This window comes from Homo sapiens, chromosome 9, assembly GCF_000001405.40.
Source record: "Homo sapiens chromosome 9, GRCh38.p14 Primary Assembly".
Lineage (NCBI taxonomy): Eukaryota > Metazoa > Chordata > Mammalia > Primates > Hominidae > Homo > Homo sapiens.
In genome coordinates this window covers 68279743-68306133 of record NC_000009.12, presented here as the reverse complement: position 1 = coordinate 68306133, position 26391 = coordinate 68279743, and the positions used below count along the sequence as shown (strand labels likewise).

General features: G+C 39.4%; 2 protein-coding genes and 1 long non-coding RNA gene across 9 annotated transcripts in view, besides 2 other annotated features; all 3 read right to left on the bottom strand.

Moving 5' to 3' along the window:
* Positions 1-1049: 1049 nt before the first annotated feature.
* FOXD4L3 (forkhead box D4 like 3) lies at positions 1050-3267 on the bottom strand. The gene has a single exon (NM_199135.4). The coding sequence runs from the start codon at positions 3180-3182 to the stop codon at positions 1929-1931; it is 1254 nt and encodes a 417-aa protein (NP_954586.4). The 5' UTR covers positions 3183-3267; the 3' UTR covers positions 1050-1928.
* A 2831-nt stretch (positions 3268-6098) lies between these two features.
* The window catches only part of ZNG1C (Zn regulated GTPase metalloprotein activator 1C), a 58053-nt gene continuing 37760 nt past the window's right edge, over positions 6099-26391 (bottom strand). For 5 of the 7 annotated variants that reach the window (NM_201453.4, NM_001378114.1, NM_001291821.2 and 2 more), the window contains 5 exons: positions 20094-20145; positions 8486-8554; positions 8317-8382; positions 7041-7170; positions 6099-6653 (listed from right to left, as the gene is read on the bottom strand). In NM_201453.4, coding sequence (NP_958861.2) covers positions 6547-6653; positions 7041-7170; positions 8317-8382; positions 8486-8554; positions 20094-20145 — 424 coding nt within the window. In that variant the 3' untranslated portion in view covers positions 6099-6546. The remainder of the gene's footprint in view (positions 6654-7040; positions 7171-8316; positions 8383-8485; positions 8555-20093; positions 20146-26391) is intronic. The other 2 variants (NM_001378113.1, NM_001378117.1) reach the window with 1 other exon arrangement.
* Positions 13715-20086, bottom strand: LOC124902173 (uncharacterized). Its single transcript, XR_007061560.1, has 2 exons — positions 17191-20086; positions 13715-17108 (listed from the first exon to the last, which is right to left on the bottom strand). It is a non-coding gene; the product is annotated as an uncharacterized LOC124902173 (long non-coding RNA).
* Positions 24486-25069: an enhancer, noted in NCBI's record as "H3K27ac-H3K4me1 hESC enhancer chr9:70895981-70896564 (GRCh37/hg19 assembly coordinates)". NCBI's record gives its function as "activates a minimal SCP1, AML or CMV promoter by ChIP-STARR-seq in naive and primed H9 embryonic stem cells {active_cell/tissue: H9 hESC(naive and primed)}" and the evidence as "EXISTENCE:reporter gene assay evidence [ECO:0000049][PMID:30033119]".
* Positions 25070-25653: an enhancer, noted in NCBI's record as "H3K27ac-H3K4me1 hESC enhancer chr9:70895397-70895980 (GRCh37/hg19 assembly coordinates)". NCBI's record gives its function as "activates a minimal SCP1, AML or CMV promoter by ChIP-STARR-seq in naive H9 embryonic stem cells {active_cell/tissue: H9 hESC(naive)}" and the evidence as "EXISTENCE:reporter gene assay evidence [ECO:0000049][PMID:30033119]".

Genomic DNA, 26391 nt, shown 5'->3' with positions numbered 1-26391 from the left:
GAGAAGGAAGATAATTGGGAGGGTGCCAAGAAAGCCTAGAGAAAGTCCCTTCTGGGTTCAGCGGCCGGCTGTAGCCGCTCTCCCAGGACGTTTGTTGACAATAAATGAATGAAGGTCGGCCTGGAGACGTTTTCGCACAACGGACAGAGGGGAGTTGGAATGTAAACCAGCGAGAACCTGGCATGAAATAGGACCCCTCTATTCTCAGTTTGTTTCCAAACTCTTAGACTGCCCCAGCCCTGCCGGATTTGCTAAAAGTGGTCTATTTTGGACGCTGGTGGTGCTATGGGGCTGACGGCTACCTGTGCAAAGAAGAGGGAAGAATTGGAAGCTGGGGTCTGGGCAGCTACCAAAGGTGGGGCTTGGGAACTTTTCAGAACGTCCTCAGAACCGCAGGAGCCAAGAGGAAATCTCCCGTAGGGGATCTCAGGTAGGGCGTGCCAAGAAATTCCAAGAGACGGGATGGAGAAGAGAAGCCGGAGAAAAATCGGCCAATTAGACTCCTGTAAAAATGTGTGTCTCCATGTTTGTCCTCCCTCCTGAAATAAGAAATTCATAGCTGGGGGTGGGGAGTAGATGGGGGCTGGGGGAAAAACTTTCTCACATTCACGGAGCAGCTTCCCTCAAAGCGGCACGGAATCGGGAACCCCACTCAGGACAGGGGAAAACGGCCAAGTTCCTAGAAATTTGTTTTCTTTGTGGGGAGCAATTCATGATGGGCGTTCTTGTCTGGTTTCCCCCCACTCCGTCCCCTGACGCCGAGTAACACTTAAACCTTTCTAGTTGCAAAGTCTTTTCAGAGTTGTTTTTTTTTTTAAGAAATAAGTTTTGAAAATTCTAGTGCTTAAAATATATATATATATATATATATATAATTTATAGCCTTTTATTTTCTCTGAGTACATGTTGGCCACTACATTCCAAATTTATCTCAAATGGTTTTCCAGCTTGTTGAGGGGTGATGAAAAATAAATGGAGAATATATTTACATGCCCTCCTATTCTTTTCTTTTAGAAGTCTCATAAATAGTAAATTTCCTATTTTAAAAGCCAGGACATTTTCAACCTCAAATATTTGGAATTTTTAAAGGCCATATTAAAATGGATTACTTCTGCTATCTATAATAAATATGAATTGTGAAAATAAATTGTTTGAGGGAAAATAACGTAGGTTTTAAAAAGTTCCATTTAGAAAGGGAAGAATGAGATGTAATAGAAAATAAACGATGTAGTGTAGTGACTTAGCATTTTATTTCGTCTATATAACTAGGCTTAATTTTAACACCTTAATTTTAACATTAAAGATGGCACGTCAGACACACAGATAAGAAATCAATGTTCTGAAATTAATATCCTACTTACATTAAACATCCCTATCAGGAAGACACAGAGAGTAGAAGCATTTTGCACTAGACTTAGGAATAATACTTCCAGCTCCAAGGAAGTGAAGAAGGGGGAACATGTTTGGCATCGGAGGCTGTGTTTTTGTTTGCTTGCTTGTTTTTCTTTTAATGCCAGAACAAAATACCCCACTCACGTTCATAGTACCCCAGGAAATGCGCAAATCGGGACAGCCATAGAAGCCACAACCGAAGGCAAGAAAAGATGACTTGACGCCCTGCGAAGGTTACGTTCAGGTGGTTTTTAGAGGAACGTAATCCAGCTGTTTCTTTCTAACCATTTTGCAGCGAACAGAAGTTCGTGTTTGCTCTCCAGCGGGATTCAGATGCACACGCCCAGTATGGGCCGCGCAAGGTGGAGTGAGCAGCTGCGGGTCGCTCCCCACTCCCACCTGGCTCTAGGAGGGCCCTGCGGAGTTGGCCAGGGAACTGGGCGTGGGCGATACTAAAAAAACTGGTGAGGTCCCCTCTCCGCCCAAAGGGGCAGCCAGCGATGTCAGCCTAGAGCCCTCTGCCACTGCCTGATACCTCAGCAGGGCCGACGAGGCCGACAGGTGCCCGCCCAGCACCGCGCCCTTGGTGGGAGCGCAGCCGTTGGCGCAGTCCTCCTCCTGATGCTGCTGCTATTGCTGCAAAATTGTCCGAGCAGCGGCGGCGGCGGACACTTGCAGCAAAGGGGCAGCGGTCTGGGGATGCAACAGGCTTGATGGTCGCTGGAGCAGGTGGCAGTAGCTCCACGCGGTCGGGGACAAATTCTGCGCAGCCCCTGTACCCGCTCCCCTGACCCCTTGCATAATACTCTCAATGCTGAAAGAGATGCATCCGCCTCCCGGTGGCGACGCCAGACCCTTGCCCTCCTCCCAAGGCTGAGGACCAAGTGAGGGCTGCAGCACGGGAAGGGTGCCGGGGTCGCCAGGGCCGCGCCTTCTGCTTTCTTCGGTGCCCCGGCATAGACGGGGGCCGAGAGCAGTAGGTAGCGAAGAGGATGCGGGTGCAGCAGAGCGTAAGGGCGTCTCCCGGGGGCGGTGTTGGGGTAGGCCCCCGGGACTGGCTGCGGCGGGGCAGGGGCCCCAAGCAGAGGGCCTGGGCGGGGGTTGTGCAGGGCGGCGTGTGCAGCAGGTAGAGGGAAGGGGTGGGGCAGGTGGGCTCCCGGGGTCAGTTGGTGGCGCTTGAAACGCTTCCTACGCCGGAGAAAGCTGCCATTGTCGAACATGTCTTGGGAGGCGGGGTCCAGGCTCCAGTAGTTGCCCTTGCCTGGGTGGCCCGGCTCGCGGGGGATCTTAACGAAGCAGTCGTTCAGCGAGAGGTTGTGGCGGATGCTGTTCTGCCAGGCGGGGAACTTGCGGCGGTAGTAGGGGAAGCGGCCACTAATGAAGGCGCAGATGCCGCTGAGCGTGAGGCGCTTGTGCGGGTTTTGCAGGATGGCCATGGTGATGAGCGCGATGTACGAGTAGGGGGGCTTTGCCGGCTGCCGGGCATCTTCAGAGGCCGCCGCAGACCTTGGCGGTGCCCTGAACTTGGTGCCAAACTCTGAGGGGTCGCTCGGGCCGCCGCCGCCCTCGATGTGCTCTCGGGGAAGCGCAACCCCGCCCCACCGGGCCACCTGCAGCCCCGGCTGGAGCGACTGCTCTAGGAACTGCTGGCTCGCCGCCTCCTCCTCGTCTTCCACCTCGTCTTCATCTTCCTCCTCTCCCAGGACATCGATTTTACCGTCTTCCCCATCGGAGTCCCGGAGGCTGCGCTGCGGTGTGGAGCGAAGGCGCTCAGCTCTTGGCAGGTTCATGGAGGAGCAGGTGCTTCAGTCGCAGGGGATGTGGCGGCCGATCACCTGGCCTGGGGCGGGCTGAGCTGGAAGCCTGGGATGAATGTTGCAAGAAGCAGGAACGCTAGTGGTTACCCTTTGGGATGTTTTCGTCTGCTTGTTTCTACTCCTTTGCAACAACGTCCGGCAAAGATGCCTTTGCCTTTTATAAAAGCTTCTTCAAGACCATGTGTGGTGGACTCCCCCCTTTATAACCCTTCTTCCCCTACCTCGGAGCGGTGCCACTTCCTCCTAACGTAGTCCAGGGATGATGGTCTTCTGGGCAAACACCCGTCCGGAGAAAAGCCCAGCCCCCTCCTCCTCGCACCCACCTGCCACCAAGGAAGATGCTCTACTCATCCGGTGCAGCCAGACAGTTGGCAAGCCTTTGCACGGGTTCTGTTAAGGCGCATTTAAACCCGCGCAAATAAAAGCGAGGTAGGAAAGTATGATACTCAACATTCTATGACCACCTCAACATGCAGCCTTCCCGCCTGGAGAAAAGAAATGGTGGGGCAGGAGGCTGAAATGTACACGGTTGTTTGTAAAGGAATGTGTAACCGTAAAAGTATGTTTTTGTGTTTCACAGCTGGTAATCACCCATTTTCATTGGTAGAGTCTGTCCTTACCCAGAATGGTGAGCTGAATTATATTTAAGGTTCTGACAATATTCCCAGGCTTCAGGGGGGTGTTGCTTTGCTCCTTCTACCTTCCTTCCCACCTCCTCAAGATGCTCTCCCTGACTCAAATTTTCAGAAAAGGCTCAAATGTCCCAGCACTAAATTGTGTAAGTTTACTCAGGGAAGGCAGGAGAGCTCACACGGAGTCCTCTGTCCCCTTGTAGCAATGGTTCTCCAATTTCTTTGAATATTTAACCACAGAAATACATTTTATATCACAATCTCACACATACAGACATAATACATAACTAAGATGGGTTTCACGAAACAATATACTTACACTATAGTGATCACTGATATTTCCTTTTAAAAAAAAATGGCCATAACCAACTAAATTGATTTCACACATACCAGTATGGGCCCAGTTTGAAAAATCCTGTTCTTACAAAGTGGCCCCACATACAAGAAATGCACCCACTCTATAAGGGCTTCTCTCTCTCCCTTTCCTCCTTCCTTTCTTCATCCTTTATAACCAATTCATTTTTAGAGACAGGGTCTATGTTGCGCAGGCTGGCTTTGAATTCCTGGGCTCAAGTGATCCTCCCGCCTCAGCCTCCTGAGTAGGTGGGACTACAGGCGTGCCACTATGCCTGGCTCTGGCTCTTCATTCTTTTTTTTTTTTTTTTTTTTTTTTTTTTTTTTGAGACGGAGTCGCTCTGTCGCCCAGGCTGGAGTGCAGTGGGGCGATCTCAGCTCACTGCAAGCTCCGCCTCCTGGGTTCACGCCATTCTCCTGCCTCAGCCTCCCAAGTAGATGGGACTACAGGCGCTCGCCACCACGCCTGGCTAATTTTTTGTATTTTTAGTAGAGACGGGGTTTCACCGTGTTAGCCAGGATGGTCTCGATGTCCTGACCTCATGATCCGCTTGCCTCAGCCTCCCAAAGTGCTGGGATTACCGGCGTGAGCCGCCATGCCCAGCCTCTTCATTCTTTCAGAAATGTCAACATTAAGTGCTTTTACTGTAATAAAACTTGGGACTTCAATGAGGCAAGAAGGGGCTGCAGTGTTGCCTTTAAATCAGTGGGTCCTCATTCACTATCTGCACTGGGGAGGGGCAATATGACAGCACAACTGTTCATCTCACTCGCTCCACATCCTTAGAAATAACACGATTTTTAGATTGGCTTCATGAAAATTAGCTCAGAGACTAAAGTAGCACTACAGAGGAATAAAAAAAATTTGTTATATAAATAAGAATCTTATTAAAATACTAAGTAAGATACTATGCCACGGTATATATTCATAATTTAAAACCCACCTACTTGGGAAAACTTTGAGGTGCCATCTAATAAAAATGCAGCATGAAAGAATATTATGCCCTTGATAGTCACATAGTGTCTATAATTATGACAATGAATGTTCAGTGAGAAATCAAACGCCAACTGCAAGGGCAAAATATAATAAAAAATAGCTTAAAGTAGCTAGTGCCTTCAGGATAAAATCTGGAAAAGAGCTTTCTTGCTGATCTTTTTTTGAAACTTTGCTGCTCCTGAAGTTTTTACCCTTTAAGGCTCCTCAGTTTATATGAAGCTTGGAGGACAAATAACAGACAGGTTTGAGCCTAACAGATTTGTTTGAATCCCAAATTTACCAATGACTGCTTGTGTGACCTACTAAACTAAGCTCCAGGAGGGCCAGGCCAGGTGTCTTATTCAACCACATAATCCCAGACACCTCCTCCCCAGCGCCCCCCAGCATGTGAGGCAAATTTCCTCCATCAGCATAGGAATCGGATGACCTGGGAAAGGGAGTATTGTTAGTTTTCCTAGAGCCAGCTTCAATAGGGATTGGGGTTATTTAAAAATACAGGAGAAAAATAAGGAGGCGCTCAAAAACAAAACACAAAACCCACATTGATGGGGGTATGTCAAAGGGGGGAACAGGAGATAACGGAAAGAGTTCCCAATGGTCAAAGCTGGGATAATTTGAGCAACAAAATAAAGTAGTATTAAATTGTAACCCAAAGTATAAAATATTCATGTGTCCACACTGATAAACATAAATGATCGAACTAATAAAGCGAAAGGGACAACTGTCCCTCGCAGAAGAATTTCAATTAATTATGTAGACCACTCCCAAGAAAGTACACTACAACTCCCCATTCCTTTAGTGTGGGCTGTGCATAGTGATTTCCTTCCAAAGAGCACAGTATGAAATGGGGGAAAAGAGTAACTTTACAATGGAGAAACCTGACAAACACTCCTTCAGCCAGGTGATCAGGTCGTCAACATCAACATCAATAACAGTCATAACCTTTTATTTCATGTCATAAAATGGTGACACTTACTTGTGTTAAAAAAATTTAATAACAATGTAATCATTATATCTCTGCAATCAGCTGAAGTTCTAAGAAAAAATGACAATGTTGAAAGTTGTATCATCATTATTATAAACTTTCATGTTCAGTATATGTAAACTCCAAAGCCAATTTCAAAAGATATTTTTGTGAAATACCATTCTTTAAAAAAAAGGATATTATATATAATTGTATGAATGTTAAATGTTTTACAGTACTGATTTGCTACATTTTATGTATGCTGTAAAACAAATACCATTTTAAAGTATATTGGAATTCGTAACTAAAGTAATAAATAAATGCTTGAAATATACCCAGTAGAAACTTATTTTTATTATCCAATCCTTTTGATAAGAAATGCCTCTAGTGTTATGTACAAACTTGATCTTCTTTGAAATGTGTTGTCCACTGCTTTTCTGTTTCTGTCACAGTAGCTATAAACAGCTGTTTAAGGATATCCTTATCTAAATTTCTGCCTGCAAACAAAACAAAATATGACGTGATTACATTATGCTTATTAAAATGACACAGTTCACCTATCAATTCCAGTTCATTAAATGCTTTATGGTGTTTAAAAATTTACAAAAAGAATAGTAATTGAGTGATTCCATCTTTAACTTTCCAGGTCAGTACATCAAAGTCACATTGGTCCTTGGATTAACCACTTTTCTAAAATTGAAGAAGAACAAAAGTCCTAACAAGCTTTTACGAACGTTGTAATGTGACAAAGATGAAACATTGACCACAAGCTTATTTAGTTTTAAAAGAGGACCTGAATGGTTAATCTGTTTAAGTGGCACATGATATCCCTTTCAAATATATTTTTCACTTTGTTTCAAAACTGTGAATCCTTTGAGACTTACCAATGAGGACCAATCGATTTGTTCTCTCAGTGTCATCCTTCCAGCTCACTGGAGTCTCCTCCAGATCATAGAGCTCATGGACACCCTGGACAATCACTTGTTGTGATTTGTCTTTGATTGACACCAATCCCTGCTCAAAGGAGAATTGACTGAACATTAATCAGCCTCAGTTCAAACTTAAAAGCAGAAATAGAGCATCAATGTTAATGGATTAATTACTGATATTCACTTAAAAAATACAAACTCTTAAGCTGAGAAAATTACTTAATTCCAATTATTTGTGAATTACAAGAAGTTTCTTAATGTTTTTAATTTTCAAAAAAGGTTTCTGTGTATTGATTTTTTTTTGAACAATCCCCTTTTCTAATGATAAAGTTAATACATATATTAGGATGGTTTTTCAGTGTTATTTATCACAACCAAAACCTGAAACAAAATGATGAAATATGTATCATATCCTATTGATTAAAGATTTTATATAATGTTTCACAGTTTTAGTGGGAAAAGTTGAGAAGTTAAAGGAGTTTTGTTATATTAAATAATTTGTTTTAGAAATGGGTTGCAATCAATGAACAATGTTGAAATAAAGAAAAACTATTATATTTATCTGGATATGAGCTCAATTTATCTGAATATGAGCTCATTGTGTATTGATTTGCAGAAATGAGAAACGAATTATCTGATAAACTGGCTCCTATGGGGATGAAATTAATTTATTTGAAATAATATTCTTAATTTACCAAAAACTTTGTGCACACTTGTGAACACACAAGAGTAGACACTCAACTGACTGGTTAAGCATACACTTTAGAATCACTGCTTCCTAGAAGAAATACCTTTCATGACTTAAATACCCAAATATCAAGTAATGTGAGTGGGTTTCTAAATACAGAACAAGAATTCTTCTAGTCCTTTGTAACTTTGTTTAGAGTACAACAAATGTTTAGTGTCTGCTAAATGCATCAGGAAGCATAATGTTCAGCAGAAGTGAGATTTGCAACATTATTTCTCTGTACTTGGGAACAGAGAGCAGAAGGTAACATTTCAAAGCACACAGGTTTGTTCTAGCTGCAACCCTAAAGAAAGTTGTGCAAATAAATCAAGCCTTATGCAGTGATTTCCAAAGCTCCTTTTCAGTCATGAAAATAATAAAGAAAAATGAAAGTAGACAAAGATGATTTGTACTAAAACCAGTGTTTCTGTTTAAAACCAAATATAGTTTTTATAACAGCCAAGAAAAGGACTTTGTCCAAAAGTCTGCAACAGTAAACTGTACCTTCAGCCTTATGACCTCCATGCAGTGATTGTCCTTGTTTCTCACATTCTTTTCCCACAGAAGATTCTGTATCAAGTGACATATTTTAATAAGACCAACCATCGCTAATAGCAACAACTATGTAACAAAACCATTGATAAATCATTAATCAGTTAAAAATTGCATTCACCTGAATAAACATATTAAGATGTTCTTCCTTTGCATTTCCTGGTACTTCAAATGTGATTGTAACAATACTCTGTAAATCAAGGGAAATAATAATAATTCTTTATAGTAATATCAATGTTTTTTAAATCACAAATTTTAAGATGAAAGGAACATATTCATGGAATTTTACATTGCTTAAACCATATATATTACGTATTATACTTTCCTCAGCATATGTGCTGTTTTTTTGGAATTAGCAACTCCATTTCCTACATTCTGCACAGGTACCAATGGATTTAGTATTTACACAAACTACTACCTTGTATTTTAAAAAACTCACTCAGAAACCCTGATGAAAGGGTCCTCATTATTTAATTCATTCTTTCGTGGATTCTCAGGAATAAGAATATATGTAACACATACAATGTACTCACTACACAGGGCCAGGTACTTTTGCCTGAGTCACCTCATTGTATCTTTTGACTTACTCTTCACAACAATCCTGGGGAGTGAAGATAACTATTTCATTTTATAAATTGGGGAAAATAAGGGTCAAAAAAATAAGCTACCCAGAGCCAGGAATAAAACTCAAAACCAAAGTAAATTTGTTCTCTTAAAAAAAAAATACAAAAGAAAGGCTTGGCTTATCTTTAACTGAATAAGCATGTGCCAAGAGGAGAAGAGTTCTTAGCGATGAGAATGATAGGATAATGCCCTCTTTGGCTTTAGTAAGGGTGACATCATCATGTATTGAATATTAACTTTAGGATTTATTTTTCTTCTTTATCTTGATAAATCTCTCACTGTCTACCCTAAAGAAACAGAAGCTTAACATTTCCTCTAACAGGTCACCTAATTAAAACCCAAACCTCCCTTTGCCAATATAACCCCAAATTTCAAACTCAGAGATGAAAATACACAAGGGCTAAGCATAACATTATAAAAACATACACCCCACCTTGGAAAATAGAGGCTCAAAAGCCAAGCTCAAAATGAATTTAAAAAGGTAGAAAATAATATACTAAAGCACATCTTTGCATAACTTCCTAGAACTGCGTATCTGGCCTAGCAATTTTACTCACCATTACATAATCATACAGGCTTACAGCAGAAAATACAAAAAGACCAAAAACTATTTTATAATCCAAACTCAAGAGAATCGCTAAAGTATTAAAGACCAATTTAGGCAGAAACATATGAGACATTTCTTTCTTTCCATAGGTTACTGGGGAACAGGTGGTGTTGGTTAACTTCTTTAGTGGTGATTTGTGAGATTTTGGTACACCCATCACCTGAGCAGTATACACTGCACCCAATTTTTGTCTTTTATTCCTCATCCCCTTCCCACCCTTTCTCCCTGAGTCCCCAAAGTTTATTGTGTCATTCTTATGCCTTTGCATCCTCATAGCTTAGCTCCCACTTATGAGTGAGAACATAGCGATGTTTGGTTTTCCATTCCTGAGTTCTTTCACTTAGAATAATAGTCTCCAATCTTATCCAGGTCACTGTGAATGCCATTAATTCACTCCTTTTTATGGCTGAGGAGTATTCCATTGTATGTATATATATCACAGTTACTTTATCCACGCATTGATTGATGGGCATTTGGGTTGGTTCCACGTTTTTGCAATTGCGAATTGTGCTGCTATAAACATGCGTGTGCACGTATCTTTTTTGTATAATGACTTCTTTTCCTCTGGGTGGATATCTAGTAGTGGGATTGCTGGACCAAATGGTAGTTCTACTTTTAGTTCTTTAAGGAATCTCCACACTGTTTTCCATAGTGGTTGTACTAGTTTACATTCCCACCAGCAGTGTAGAAGTGTTCCGTGTTCACCACATCCATGCCAACATCTACTATTTTTTTGATTTTTTTATTATGGCCATTCTTGCAGAAGTAAGGTGGTATCGCACTGTGGTTTTGATTTGCATTTCCCTGATCATTAGTGATGTTGAGCATTTTTCCATATGTTTATTGGCCATTTGTATATCTTCTTTTAAGAATTGTCTATTCATGTCCTTAGCCCACTTTTTGATGGGACTGCTTTTCTTGCTGATTTGTTGGAGTTCATTGTAGATTCTGGATATTTGTTCTTTTTCAGATGTATATATTATGAAAGATTTTCTCCTTCTCTGTGGGTTGTCTGTTTACTCTGCTGACTTTTCCTTTTGCTCTGCAAAAGTTCTTTAGTTTAATTAAGTCCCAGCTATTTATCTTTGTTTTTATTGCATTTGCTTTTGGGTTCATGAAATCCTTGCCTAAGCCAATGTCTAGAATGATTTTTCCAATGGTATCTTTTAGAATTTTTATAGTTTCAGGTCTTAGATTTAAGTCTTTAATTTATCTTGGGTTGATTTTTGTATACAGTGAGAGAGGAGGATCCAGTTTCATTCTCCTACATGTGGCTAGCCAATTATCCCAGCACCATTTGTTGAAAAGGGTATCCTTTTTCCACTTTACGTTTTTGTTTGCTTTGTTGAAGATCAGTTGGCTGTAAGTATTTGGGTTTATTTCTGGGTTCTCTATTCTGTTCCATTGGTCCATGTGCCTATTTTTATAACCGTACCATGCTGTTTTGGTGACTATGGCCTTATAGTATAAGTTTGAAATCAGGTAATGTGATGCCTTCAGATTTGTTCTTTTTGCTTAGTCTTGCTTTGGCTACGCACATGTGTATGTTAAACCATCCCTGCATCCCTGGTATGAAACCCCTTGATCATGGTGGATTATCTTTTTGATATGTTGTTGGAATCAGTTAGCTAGAATTTTCTTAAGGATTTTAGCATCTATGTTCAAGGATATTGGTCTGTAGTTTTCTTCTTTGGTTATGTCCTTTCCTGGTTTTGGTATTAGGGTGATACTGGCTTCATAGAATGATTTAGGGAGGATTCCTTCTTTCTCTCTCTTGTGGAATAGTGTCTTTAAGACTGGTACCAATTCTTCTTTGAATATCTGGTGGAATTCTGTTGTGAATCCGTCTAGTCCTGGACATTTTTTTGTTGGTAATTTTTTAATTACCATTTCAATCTCCCTGCTTGTTACTGGTCTGTTCAGGGTAATTCTTCCTGATTTAAGCTAGGAGGGTTGTATCTTTCCAGGAATTTATCCATCTATTTTAGGTTTTCTAGTTTATGCATGTAAAGGTGTTCATGGTAGCCTTGAATATCTTTTGTATTTCTGTGGTGTCAGTTGTAATATCTCCCGTTTCATTTCTTATTGAGCTTATTTGGATTTTCTCTCTTTTCTTGGCTAATCTTGCTAACGGTCTATCAATTTTATTTATCTTTTCAAAGAACCAGCTTTTTGTTTCATTTATCTTTTGGATTTTTTTGTTGTTTTGTTTCAATTTCATTTAATTCCGCTCTGATCTTCTTTCTTCTGCTGGGTTTGTTCTTGTTTCTCTAGTTCTTTGAGATGTGACCTTAGATTGTCTGTGCTCTTTCCAACTTTTTGATGTAGGCATTTAGGGCTATGAACTTTCCTCTTAGCACCACCTTTGCTGTATCCCAGAGGTTGATAGGTTGTGTCACTATTGTCATTCAGTTTGAGGAATTTTTACATTTCCATCTTGATTTCATCTTTGACCCAAAGATCATCCAGGAGCAGGTTATTCCATGTATCTGCATGGTTTTGAAGGTTCCTTTTGGAGTTGATTTCCAGTTTTATTCCACTGTGGTCTGAGAAAGTGCTTGATATAATTTTAATTTTCTTAAAATTTATTGAGGCTCATTTTGTTGGCTATCATATGGTCTATCTTACAGAAAGTTCATGTGCTGTTGAACAGAACGTATATTCTGTGGTTGTTGGATGGAATATTCTGTATATATCTTTTAACTCCATTTGTTCCAAGGTATAGTTTAAATCCACTGTTTCTTTGTTGACTTTCTGTCTTGATGACCTGTCCAGTGCTGTCAGTGGAGTATTAAAATCCCTCACTATTATTGTGTTGCTGTCTGTCTAATTTTTTAGGTCTATTAGTAATTCTTTTATAAATTTGGGAGCTCCAGTGTTAGGTGCATATGTTTAGGATTGTGATACTTTCCTGTTGGACAAGGCCTTTTTTCATTATATAATGTCCCTCTTTGTCTTTTTAAACTGCTGTTTCTTTAAAGTTTGTTTTGTCTAATATAAGAATGGCTACTCCTGCTCACATTTGGTGTCCGTTTGCATGAAATGTCTCGGTCCATCCCTTTACCTTAAGTTTATGTGAGTCCTTATGTGTTAGATGAGACTCTTGAAGGCAACAGATAGTTGGTTGGTGAATTCTTACCTATTCTGCAATTCTGTATCTTTTAAGTGGAGCATTTAGGCCATTTATATTCAATGTTAGTATTGAGATGTGAGGTACCACTCTATTCATCATGCTATTTGTTGCCTGTATACCTTGTTTTTTTGGTTTTTGTTGTTTTTCTAATTGTATTTTTGTTTTATAGGTCCTGTGATATTTATGCTTTAAAGAGGTTCTGTTTTGATATGTTTCCTGGATTTGTTTCAAGATTTAGAGTTCCTTTTAGCATTCTTGCACTGGTGGCTTGGTAGTGGTGAATTCTCTGTTTGTCTGAAAAAGCTGTATCTTGCCTTCATATATGAAGCTTAGTTTTGCTGAATACAAAATTCTCAGCTGATAATTGTTTTGTTTGAGGAGGCTGAAGATAGGGTTCCAATCCCTTCTGGCTTGCAGGGTTTCTGCTGAGAAATGTGCTGTTAATCTGGTAAGTTTTCCTTTACAGGTTACCTGGTGCTTTTGTTTCACAGCTCTTTCTTTCATCTTAACTTTAGATAACCTGACGACAATGTGCCTAGATGATGATCTTTTTGCGATGAATTTCCCAGATGTTCTTTGTGCTTCTTGTATTTGGATCTAGGTCTCTAGCAAAGCTGGGGAAGTTTTCCTCAATTATTCCCCCAAATATGTTTAACAAACGTTTAGATTTCTCTTCTTCCTCAGGAATGCCGGTTATTCTTAGGTTTGGTCATTTAACATAATTCCAGATTTCTTGAAGGCTTTCTTCATATTTTCTTATTCTTTTTTCTTTGTCTTTATTGGATTTGGTTAATTAGAAGACCTTGTCTTCAGGCTCTGAATTTCCTTCTTCTACTTGTTCAATTCTATTGCTAAGACTTTCCAGAGCATTTTATATTTCTATAAGTATGTCCATTATTTCCTAAAGTTTTGATTGTTTTTTATTTATGCTATCTAGTTCATTGAATATTTCTCCCTTTACTTCTTGTATCTTTTTTATATATATATATATCCTTACATTGGGCTTCACCTTTCTCTGGTGCCTTAGCTTAATAACCAACCTAGTGAATTCTTTTTCAAGTAAGTCAGGGATTTCTTCTTAGTTTGGATCCATTGCTGGTGAGCTAGTGTGATTTTTTGGGGGGTGTTAAAGAACCTTGTTTTGTCATACTACCAGGGTCGGTTTTCTGGTTCCTTCTCATTTGGGTAGGCTCTGTCAGAGAGAAGGTCTAGGGCTGAAGGTTGTTGTTCAGATTCTTTCGTCCTACGGGGTGTTCCCTTGATGTAGTACTCTCTCCCTTTTCCTATGGATGTGGCTTCCTGAGAGCTGAGCTGTAGTGATTGCTCTCTCTCTTCTGAATCTAGCCACCCAGCAAGTCTACCAGGCTCCAGGCTGGTACTGGGGGGTAGTCTGCACAGAGTCGGGAGATGTGAACCATCTGTGGGTCTCTCAGCTGTGGATACCAGCACCTGTTCCAGTGGAGGTGGTAGGAGGGTGAAATGTACTCTTTGAGGGTTCTTAGCTTTGCTGGTTTAATGTACTATTTTTGTGCTGGTTGGCCTGCTGCAGGGAGGTGGCACTTTCCAGAGAGTGTCAGTTGTGGTAGTATGGAAAGGAACAGGTGATGTGTTGGGCTCTAGAACGCCCAAAAACATGAGATACTTAATCTCCACTGTTAGTAGTAATAGGAAAAGCGGAAAAGTGCTTTCTTGCTTGATAAGAGAAGTACAAGCAGACTAAAAAAAGATTCAAATTGAACTTGCAAATGTGAGACTTTTAAAACTACTTATTTTGTCACAGCAGCCAAGACACTAACAACCACCTAAATGTCCAGGACAGTTGAATGGATAAAATAAATGTGGTAATATACATACAACCAAATATTATGTATCCTTAAAAAAAATCCTGTCATATACTACAACATGGATGAATCTTGAGGACATTACACTAAGTGAAATAAGCCAGTCACAGAAGGACAAATATTGCATGAATCCACTAATATCAGGTGTCTAAAACAGTAAAACTCATCAAATCAGAAAGTAAAATGGTGGTTACCAGGGGTGAGAGGGAGACGAAAATTGGGAGGTGCTGTTCAATGGGTATAATTTTAGTCATGCAAGATGAAAAGTTCTAGAGATCTGCTATATAACAATGTACAGACAGTTAACAATACTATATTGTACCCTTAAAAATTTGTGGAAGAAGGTAGGTCTCACGTTAAGTGTTTTTTACCACAATAAAAAATATACAGTCATGGATACATAAAGAGAAATGAGCTGTTGGGCAATTTTGTTGTTATACAAACATGATAGTGCACTTACACAAACCTAGATGGTATAACCTACTACACACCTAAGCTATGCTGTATTAGCCTGTTGCTCCTAGGCTACAAACCTGTACAGCATATATGTTACTGTACTGAACAGTGTATCGAAATAATAACACAATGGTAAGTATTTGTGTGACAGTAATTTTTCAGCTCCATCGTAATCTTATGCAGTCTGACTAAAACGCTGTTATGCAGTGCATGACTATACTTATTTTTAAATCTTAATAAACATACTCTATTTTAAAACTATTTTTATAGCATAAGGTAATAATAATATGCATTTTTAAATGACAATTATTTTATTTCTTCATTAAAGGAATCACTACAATACCTAAAAGTCCACATAAAAATATACAGCAAAAGGTTGTCAAATGAAACATAACTGTCAGTTAAAAAAAAATAAATTTAGTCTTCAAAAATGTTTAAAATGTATTTTAATGCAAGTTGGAAAACTATATTGAGAATGTCGCAAAATACGACTCAAAATTGCTTTATTGTTAAAGATTTTAACTGAATAAATTTTTTTGAGATGGGGTCTCACTCTGTTGCCCAGGCTGGAGTAGAGTGGCACAATCATGGCTTACTGTAGCTTTGAACTCCCAAGCTAAAGCAATCCTCCCACTTCAGCCTCTCGAGTAGCTGGGATTACAGGTACATGCCACCATGCCTGGCTAATTTTTTGTATTTTTTGCAGAAATGGGGTTTCACCATGTTGCCCAGGCTGGTCTACAACTCCTGGGTTTTAAGTAATCCACCCACCTTGGCCTGTCAAAGCGCTAGGATTACAAGCATAAGCCACCACACCCAGCCTAAAGATTTTTATAATGATTTTTGCTTTTAACAGGTTAAATATGTGACTTAATATTTTTAAGGGGTACAATAAACTCCAGTATGAGACAAAAAAGGCTTTAAAAATTAAAGCTCAAGAAGGATGATCTACATTTTGGAACCAGATGTTTTCCTACACCAATAAACTCTTTTCATGTTAGAAAAACCCTGAAAAAATCTGTAATTCCCAGTGCAGAAGATAAGGGTCACAACTCATAGTTGGTTCTAATAATAAACTAAACATTATTTGTCACTTGGGTTTTCTCATCTACCTTCCCACTCTCCAAACCCAGGTGTTCCTTATGGGGAATAAACAAAGAATCCATGAAAAATAGATAACTGCATTAAAAATTCAGGGATAGAGCCTTAATAACACATATATACTAGGTCCTAGGTATTACCCATTTCAGACTTTTTTTTTCCAGTTTTTGTTTTGAATCTAAAATTAACTCCTTTTTCCATGTATGCTGACACAGAAAGAAACAGAAAAGTGAGGCAATAATTGAGAAAACTAAAGCAAAATGAGGAATTGTCTCTAAAATAAAATTTAGGAACAACTTACTCAGGTTTGTTTATTTAGTCCGTTTCTTCTTTAACCCACTGGGTTATTTCTCCATTTTCTACTCTTTTGCAAACAATACCTAACATACAATAACTTTTATATGTTTTCTTCATCCAGAACACTAAGCCCCCTAATGTGCTTAAACTCAAAATCTGTACCTTCACACTCTATCCCTCTGTTCTTCTTTGCCTGTATAATATCTATACTATAATATCTGGCCACCAGGGACAACTGAATATATGGCATTATCATCCAAATCACTTTGCCTTCCCGATTTTTCTATTTCTAGGTTTCTCTAGTCAATCTAGGCTTGTTTCCCATCACCCCTTCTTTTCTTTCTGATCCATACTCAGTCAGACAGGATATTCAGGCAAGTCTACTGGTGAAACAGCTCTGGATTTATCCCATTTCTAGTCTCACTGTAACCAACATGTTTCAGGCCCTTATCACACAGTATCTTCCCGCATGGTCTCCTGACTCTAAAGTCCAATCTAGCTTACATAACACTCCTAGACAGCACTGCTTGAGTTTTCTTTGTCTAGCAAATTAAAACCTAATACCTTAGACCAGGATTCCAGTACCAACTCTCCACTAAGACTTCTGTACCAGAGACCTACTCATCTATAAGATTCTCACCTTCTCATTTTTAAACATCCATATTGCTCTTTTCCTTACTTCTTCCTGTCAAAAAAAATCCTACCGTCAAAAAAAATCCTACCAGTTCAAGGTTATTTTTTGTTAAGTAAGTCAGAATAGCACTTACCCCTTCTTTGACTAGGAAGGGGCAAAAAGGAACTCTTTACAATTTTGGATATCTTTTGTATCTTGACCTGAGTGGGAGTTAGAAGGATATGTGTTTGAATGTGCATATAGACAGATATATAGGTACAAATATATGTAAAAATACATTGAGGCCGGGCACAGTGGCTCACGCCTGTAATCCCAGCACTTTGGGAGGCCGAAGCAGGTGGATCACCTGAAGTCAGGAGTTTGAGACCAGCTTGGCCAACATGGTGAAACCCCATCTTTACTAAAAAAAAAAAAAAAAAAAAAAAAAAATACAAAAATTAGCTAGGCATGGTGGTACATGCCTGTAATCCCAGCTACTCAGAAGGCTGAGGCATGAGAATCACTTGAATCTAGAAGGAGGAAGTTGCAGTGAGCCAAGGTCACACCACTGCACTCCAGCCTGGGTGAGACTCCAGCCGGAGCGAGACTCCGTCTCAGAAAAAACCAAAAAAACAAAAACAAAAACAAAACCCAAACATTGAATTGTACACTAAAATTACACATTTGCATGCTTTATGCAAATAAATAAACCAAAACCAAAACAAACAAACAAAAAACTATCCTCATGAAGCATTTGATGGGGTTCAGGACATGCTATCCCAAAATATGGCAACTCAATATTTGAGAAAATGGCAGAATCAGGAAGGTCACTCTCACCTTCTCTCCTGAAGCAGGTCATAAAACCTAGGAAAGATTTTCTGACCTTCCGCTGATGCAGGTCATAAGACCCTCATTTAAGAGGTGCCCTCTCTATACACAGAGGAAAAGAACATCCTTAAGTCTGAATATGAAGGGTCACAGAGAAAAATCTGAACAAACAGGCCTTGCTAAGTTCTTCCCAGTTTATTATTAGATCATACTGTTTTATCTAATTATGCTTCTCCATTAACTATCCTCTTCCATACCATAACTAACAGAAAACATACACAGGTATGTTTTATGAAGGCTCCTGTGTCAAGTAAAACTTACTAAATAAATTTCTATGTTGAAATTTCTCTTGATAGTTGGTCTTCTGTTAGAGAGACCTCAGCCATGAATCTAGTGATAGGCGAGGAAAAGATAAATTTCCTCCCTTACACCTCAGATCCACTAAACCAAATGAAATTGTTCTTGCCTCTGAATCCCATAGCCCTTTGGCTGTGATACTATTTTTCCCTATGTTTATATTATCTAAAGCAGGACAGTGCATCAGAATCTCCTACAGAGGCTACAAAAATATAGATATGCCCTATTTAGTAGTAAAGTGACATAATGTCTGGAATTTGCTTTAATACACTACACCAAGGGCAATAGGTACATACAGGCTCATTATACTATTCTACTCTTATGCACGTTTGAAATTTCCTATTAAAATACATTTGTTTTTTTTAAATACTCCAGGCAAAAGAAATGTTGGGAGGATAGGTGAAATAAAATCAGCTAAATGTTGATGCCATTTAAACTGGGTGATGCATACAAGGGGTTTACTTTACTATTCTGTTTATTCTTTTATATCTTTGAAATCTTCCATAATAAAATGTTAAAAATATACATTAATATACACATACCCAAGTCCCAATCCTGGAGACTGAGGGGTGAGAACTACTGAGTTATCGAATTTTTTTTAAAAAAGCTCCACATGTGATTCTGATTTATACCCCATTTGAGAAACACAGCTTTTCATTCTTTTAACAAATATTCACTGAGTATCCACCAAGCCCTGTACTAAGCAATAAAGATTTTATATTTAAGGAATTTATAGACTAATGCAAGGCAAAAGCATTTCAACCAAACTACAAGGCATCATAACTGCCACAATAGGGGTTCATTCGAGATTCTATGGATGGAGACACTGGCTGCTCCAAATGTTCATGGTAAGTGAGTACTGCGTTTGCTTCATCTTTTCATCCCTATGATTCTTGGCATCACGTTCTTTACCCAGAAGCTCAAATGTGCTTCATGTTCAACTATATGACAGATACCGACTATCATAAAGAACTGAGTTTTTTTTTTTTTTTACCATAAATTCTATCTCCAAGGACTTGTATTTCTCTCATTTATTCATTTTAAAGATAAGTGAAGAGGAATATCCTATTAACAAAAGTTTCACAGGGAAAGGTGCCACAAACATAGTAGCAAACCTGCTCATAAATGTGAACCAAAATGAATACAAATGCAAGTAGCTGTTATCTTGGCCCTATTACAACCAATAGCAATTCAAAAATTGAGTGATCACTTGAGAGAGAGGAAGGAAGATTAGGCACACTGCTCACTTACACATCCCCCACTCCACCCCTCAGGGTTTTAAGAGGAACAAAGAAGTTATCCTAAAGCTCTACGATCTATGATCTGCTTAACAGAAACGCAGGTACAGTAAAATTATATTTAAATTGTTCCTAGCATCTTAGATATTTACCTTAGGGATTAGAATTTTAGAGCATGAAAAACATCTTAAGGAGTTCAAATTTATAGTGCTACCTGAAGGTGAAACTCCAAGTCAATTTTTATTTAAATAAGCCATGCTTATATCAGACCTTTCCTTAAACAATTCAACATACTTAAAAACAGACTGCCTATAGAACCCCCAGGCTGCTTTTAAGGAGTAATCCCTATCAGAACTAACCAATATGCTAAGCAATCTACAGAATGGAAAGGCTAGAAAGCATGGTTTCCTCAGATTCTAAAACAAATCTGGTTTGATGAATTCCTATTATGTGTTAAGAAATAGAATTAGACTATGTCAAAAGCATTTAAGATTCCAAAAATTATCAACACAGTTCAAAAATACCATTTTAGAAAAAGTTTATAATAAAATAGTCCTAAACATAGCCTATCTAGTTAAAGAGGTCCTTTAAAAACATTGATTAGAAATTTTGGATTTAGATTTTTTTTCTTTACCTGATCAAGGTGAGGTTGTGTTCCTGGCACATGCTGAAGTTTTTTCTGCAAACTAAAAACAACTGATTAGAAATTCAGAGATGAATACACTTCTGATTTAACTTTATACGTTATTTAGTGACACAAGGATAATGAAGTGACTTTCCATAACTGACTATTCTAATATTCTGTAATTCCAATTTTACAAGTTGTTCGCAAATTCCAATAGAGAAAAGCTGGCAGATTAAGTTTTTTTAAAATTTCTTAAAAAAAACACACATTCATATATATACATATGCACAGAATAAAGAGAAAAACTAGTCTTTTAGCAACACTATTTTGTATGGTTAAATATGTCAGTAAATTTCTTTACCATTCCAACAGGTTTAATACAAACTTAAATATATATATAACCATTCTAGTATTGCTTAGAGTTCCTTAACTTTCTCCTGCTTCCTAATATGAAAATAATGCTGGCACCTAAAGAAAGTTGAAAGGATAAATTTTCCTTTATCAATGTTTTCCCTTGAACTTATTAAAAAAGAAATAGTATCCATAAATATAAATTTTCTATATAGTCAGTTACCAATTGAGAGAAAAAGAAAGTCAGAATGTTAAAAATACATTGTTCTGATATGAAAAGCACAAGAAGATCAACATGGCATAACAAATTACAACCATAATAACTGTAGCATACATTTCAACACTGATGGGGACAGGACGGGAGGGGGAAAGGACTGAAAACCTTGCAGATGCTTTGCCTTGAAGAACAGTGAGGGGTAAATTAGTAACAGCAAGTTTAGGAAAGAGAAAGAACTTGTAGGAACTATTGGAGGGAATGAGTCTCTTTGGGGGGGTCCTAGTAGGGAGAATGTCAAATTAAATCCTTCCCAGCTGGTTGCTCAGGAAAAGATTCTCCTGTTTAGCAGTTAAGCACACACAAAAAAGTCATGCAACGGCCTTCCCTATAGTGGTGAGATCACATTAAATAGCTACTTCAAGTGTCACTAAAGCATTATAACTGCTCTTAAGTGTATGTAGAATGAGATTACTTTAGAAAAACATTTCGAAAAATCATATGCTTTTCCCATATGTTCAGTATTTAATGTTGTTGGACAATGACTGCCTAAAACTTCATACGCAGCAAAAAAAAAAAAAAAAAAAAATCTAACAACGAACATTTAAGTTTAGTTCCCATAAGTCTCAGAATTTCATGCCCTCGATTTTTTCCCTATCATACACATTTTTAAAAGACTAATCTAGTGGATAAGGATATGCTATCAAAACCTGAAACTCATGAATCGGAAATCATCTTGCACATTAACTTGTAATCTTATAACAATTTTTGTCTCTGCACACATAAAATGTAAATTCTGCACGCATAAAATGTAAAAAATCTCAAACAGTTTAGTGTTTTGTATATTTAAATCATTATGTTCTATAACAAACAATAATTTAGGTATTGTCAGTAAGATGGAATTAGCAACATTTCTATTTCTCCCAAGTAAAAATATAGAATGATATAAAGAACTGGATGCCTTGATGAAAGTACCTGTATTACAGCAAATTATAGCAAAAGACAGAAGTAGAAAGGAAAAACAAAAATTGATATACTGAATATAGAGGTGGGAAATGATTGCATACTATAATTCTTATTAGTGAAATAAAGCACTAAAGGATACAATATGTAAAGGGAAAAAATAAAACTTCAACTAAAAAATATTCTAGTGTTTAACATATTAAATGACAACCAACTTGTAAGCTCTTGGACCCAACAGAGATAAATTAGTTTAAGAAAGGCAAATTTTGCTGGGTTCAGTGGCTCAGGCTTATAATCCCAGCACTTTGAGAGGCCAAGTAGGAGAATCACTTGAGGCCAGGAGTTCAAGACGAGCCTGAGCAACGTAGCGAGAGCCTGTCACTACAAAAAAGTAAAAATAAAAAAATTAGCCAGGCATGGGTGCAAGCCTGTAGTCCCAGCTACTCAGGAGGCTGAGATGGGAGGATCACTTGAGTCCAGGAGTTCACGACTGCAGAGAGCCATGATAGCCACTGCATTCCAGCCCAGGTGTCAGAGTGAGACTCTGTCTCAATAAAATAAAATAATTAAATAAATATGAAAAAAAGAAAAGGCCAAGTGTGGTGGCTCACGCCTATAATCCCATTACTTTGGGAGGCTGAGGTGGGCAGATCACTTAAGCCCAGGAGTTTAAGATCAGCTTCGGCAACATGGCAAAACCTCATCTTCTACCAAAATAAAAAATTAGCCAGGCATGGTAGTGCGTGCCTATAGTCCCAGCTACTCATGAGTCTGAGGTGGGAAGATGGCTTAAGCCCAGGACACAGAGGCTATAGGGAGCTGACATCGCACCACTGCACTCTAGCCTGGGCAATAGACCCAGACCCTGTCTCCAAGGGGAAAAAAAAAAAAAAAGAAAGGCAAATTTCATGCAGCATTGTTTCATTTGTTCCCCTTGTAAACACATTTAAATGTATCACAGGATCTGTAACTATCAAAACTGCCCACAGCATCAAATTAAAAATACAGTTCTAATCCAGACACGGCGGATGAAAGCGATCATGGCTAACTAGTGAAACAGCACTGATAGTCAAATGAAGGGCTGGAACCTTGAAGTAAAAAGAAGAAAAGGATCATCGAGAGAAAAGTTAGGATGGGCTAGACTTCTGGTTATTTCAGAAATGGGTAGCAAAAGACAAAGGCTCTTAACCTCCCAGAATTAGGTGACAACCTCAGCCAATCTATCTCCCTAGTAAAGCCAGAGCTAAGATGGGAAAAAAAGACCATTTTTAAATGAACAAACCAAATTTATGCTTAGGGCTGTATTCGCTTAATGGAGGAACAGTCATTTCAAAATTAGTAAAACAAAAGCTTTATATGAAAAAACATAGTATAATTCTGAATGATTTTCATACAATCATTATCAAGCATAAGTGATACTGGATACCTGAAGCTGACATGAGGGAAAAAGCCTCAGGGAGATTTCACAACTTTGTACAGCAGTGGCTTGAAAGGATATAACTATATTTACCATAAAACAAGAAGTAGTCATTTTTACCTTACACAATTTATAAGAATTTTTAGAAAAATAGAAATAACTCACATGTAATTCAGGTATACCAAACTTTCCTGCCTTCCTACTAAATGGAACTAGAAAAGCAAAATGCTGATTTTTTCCAGGTACTCCAAAAATACCTTTATAATTTTAACTGTAATTTGTTTAGTCTAAAAAGGTACTCCTCCAATACCAGAAGCTACAGGTGAAAAACATATCTCTCAACTGAAGACAACTTCTTGAATAACTGTGTCACTGACAAGTTTACTCTCTGAGCTTCAGTTTCCAAACTGAGAAGGAGGAATAACTGCCCTGCCTGTCCCACACTTCTGGCTGCTGAAATAATCTCAATCAATTTCTTTTTTCTTTCTTTATTTTTTTTTTTTACAAACTACATGCAAATTTAATTTTTCCAATTCATAAAGTAAAAGGGGTCCAATAAAACACTATCATGTCCTACCTCACAGGTTACTGTAGGTATTGTTTTCAAAATGTGAACAATACTACAGACTGAAGGTGGAAAAAAAAACTAGTTGAAAGTAGAATTAGTTTTTAAGGGCATGGCTAAGCCAAAATTAGAAATATATTTATAAGGCTGGGTGTGGTGGCCTACACATGTAATCCCAGCACTTTGGGAGGCTGAGGCATGAGGATCACTTGAGCCCAGGAGTTTGAGACCAGCCTAGGCAACATAGCAAGACCCCATGCTTATAGAAAATTAAAAAAAAAAATTAGTCAGGCATGGTGACACATGCCTGTGGTCCCAGCTTCTTGGGAGGCTGAGATGGGAGGATCACTTGAGCCCAGGAGGCTGAGGCTGCAGTAAGCCATGTTTGTGCCACTGCACTCCAGCCTGAGTGACAGAGAACCCCATCTCAAAAAAATAAATAAAAAGAAAAGAAATATATATAGGAATGGGAATTAGAACTCTCAAATGTAGAGCCACCCACTATGCCTACCCTTAAGCAAAATTGTCCCACCAATTCAAAATACCCAGAGACATGTCCATTTTCATGATCTTGTATGGACATATATGAGACTTATGAGATATTCATTGCAGCATTATTTGCAATAGCCAAGCTGTGAGAACAAGTTAAATGTCCACTAACAGAAAAAGGGATAAAGTAAATGTGGTATATGTAGAAAATGGAATATTATTCAGACTTAAAAAGGAAACCTTGCCATATGCAAAAACATGGATGAACCTTGATGACTTTATGCTACATGAAATCAACCAGTCACAGAAAGACAAATAATGCATGATTCCACTTGTGTCAGGTAATTAAAATAGTCAACCCCACAGAAAGAGTGTAGAATGGTGGATGCCAGGGGCTATGAAGACAGGGAAATGGGAAGCTGCTATTCAAGGGGTATAAAGCTTCAGTTTTAAAGAGTGAAACGTTCCAGAGATCTGCTGCACATTCTCATGCCTATAGTTAGCAATACTGTATTGTACACTTAAAAAATTGTTAAGAGGGTAGATCTCATGTTAGATGTTCTTACTACAATAAAAAAAGAAAAAGATACCGATGCACAAGAATAACTAATCTTTCTTCCCTCCCTTACCAAAAAGATTCCCCACAGGAGAAGGCAGAAAACTAATCCATTATTAAAGTGAAGAGAGGAGAGAGGAGCCAAGATGGCCGAATAGGAACAGCTCCGGTCTACAGCTCCCAGCGTGAGAGACGCAGAAGACAGGCGATTTCTCCATTTCCATCTGAGGTACCGGGTTCATCTCACTAGGTAGTGCCAGACAGTGGGCGCAGGTCAGTGGGTGCGTGCTCCATCCGCGAGCCAAAGCAGGGCGAGGCATTGTCTCACTTGGGAAGCACAGGGGGTCAGGGAGTTCCCTTTCCTAGTCAAAGAAAGGGGTGACAGACTGCACCTGTAAGATTGGGTCACTCCCACCCGAATACTGCGCTTTTCTGACGGGCTTAAAAAACCGCGCACCAGGAGATTGTGTCCCGCACCTGGCTCGGAGGGACCCACGCCCACGGAGTCTCGCTGATTGCTAGCACAGCAGTCTGAGATCAAACTGCAAGGCGGCAGCGAGGCTGGGGGAGGGGCGCCCGCCATTGCCCAGGCTTGCTTAGGTAAACAAAGCAGCCAGGAAGCTCCAACTGGGTGGAGCCCACCACAGCTCAAGGAAGCCTGCCTGCCTCTGTAGGCTCCACCTCTGGGGGCAGGGCACAGACACACAAAAAGACAGCAGTAACCTCTGCAGACTTACCTGTCCCTGTCTGACAGCTTTGAAGAGAGCAGTGGTTCTCCCAGCACGCAGCTGGAGATCTGAGAACGGGCAGACTGCCTCCTCAAGTGGGTCCCTGACCCCTGACCCCCGAGTAGCCTAACTGGGAGGCACCCCCTAGCAGAGGCAGGCTGACACCTCACACGGCCGGGTACTCCAACAGACCTGCAGCTGAAGGTCCTGTCTGTTAGAAGGAAAACTAACAAACAGAAAGGACATCCACACCAAAAACCCATCTGTACATCACCATCATCAAAGACCAAAAGTAGATAAAAACCACAAAGATGGGGAAAAAACAGAGCAGAAAAACGGGAAACTCTAAAAAGCAGAGCACCTCTCCTCCTCCAAAGGAACGCAGCGCCTCTCCTCCTCCAAAGAAACGCAGCTCCTCACCAGCAACGGAACAAAGCTGGACGGAGAATGACTTTGACGAGCTGAGAGAAGAAGGCTTCAGACGATCAAATTACTCCAAGCTACGGGAGGACATTCAAACCAAAGGCAAAGAAGTTGAAAACTTTGAAAAAAATTTAGAAGAATGTATAACTAGAATAACCAATACAGAGAAGTGCTTAAAGGAGCTGATGGAGCTGAAAACCAAGGCTTGAGAACTACGTGAAGAATGCAGAAGCCTCAGGAGCCGATGCGATCAACTGGAAGAAAGGGTATCAGCGATGGAAGATGAAATGAATGAAATGAAGCAAGAAGGGAAGTTTAGAGAAAAAAGAATAAAAAGAAACAAACAAAGCCTCCAAGAAATATGGGACTATGTGAAAAGACCAAATCTACGTCTGATTGGTGTACCTGAAAGTGACAGGGAGAATGGAACCAAGTTGGAAAACACTCTGCAGGATATCATGCAGGAGAACTTCCCCAATCTAGCAAGGCAGGCCAACATTCAGATTCAGGAAATACAGAGAATGCCACAAAGATACTCCTCGAGAAGAGCAACTCCAAGACACATAATTGTCAGATTCACCAAAGTTGAAATGAAGGAAAA

What these genes read in the sequence shown, in the direction of transcription:
- FOXD4L3 (NM_199135.4), bottom strand. Translation starts at nt 3,182, where the DNA reads ATGAACCTGCCAAGAGCTGAGCGCCTTCGCTCCACACCGCAGCGCAGC.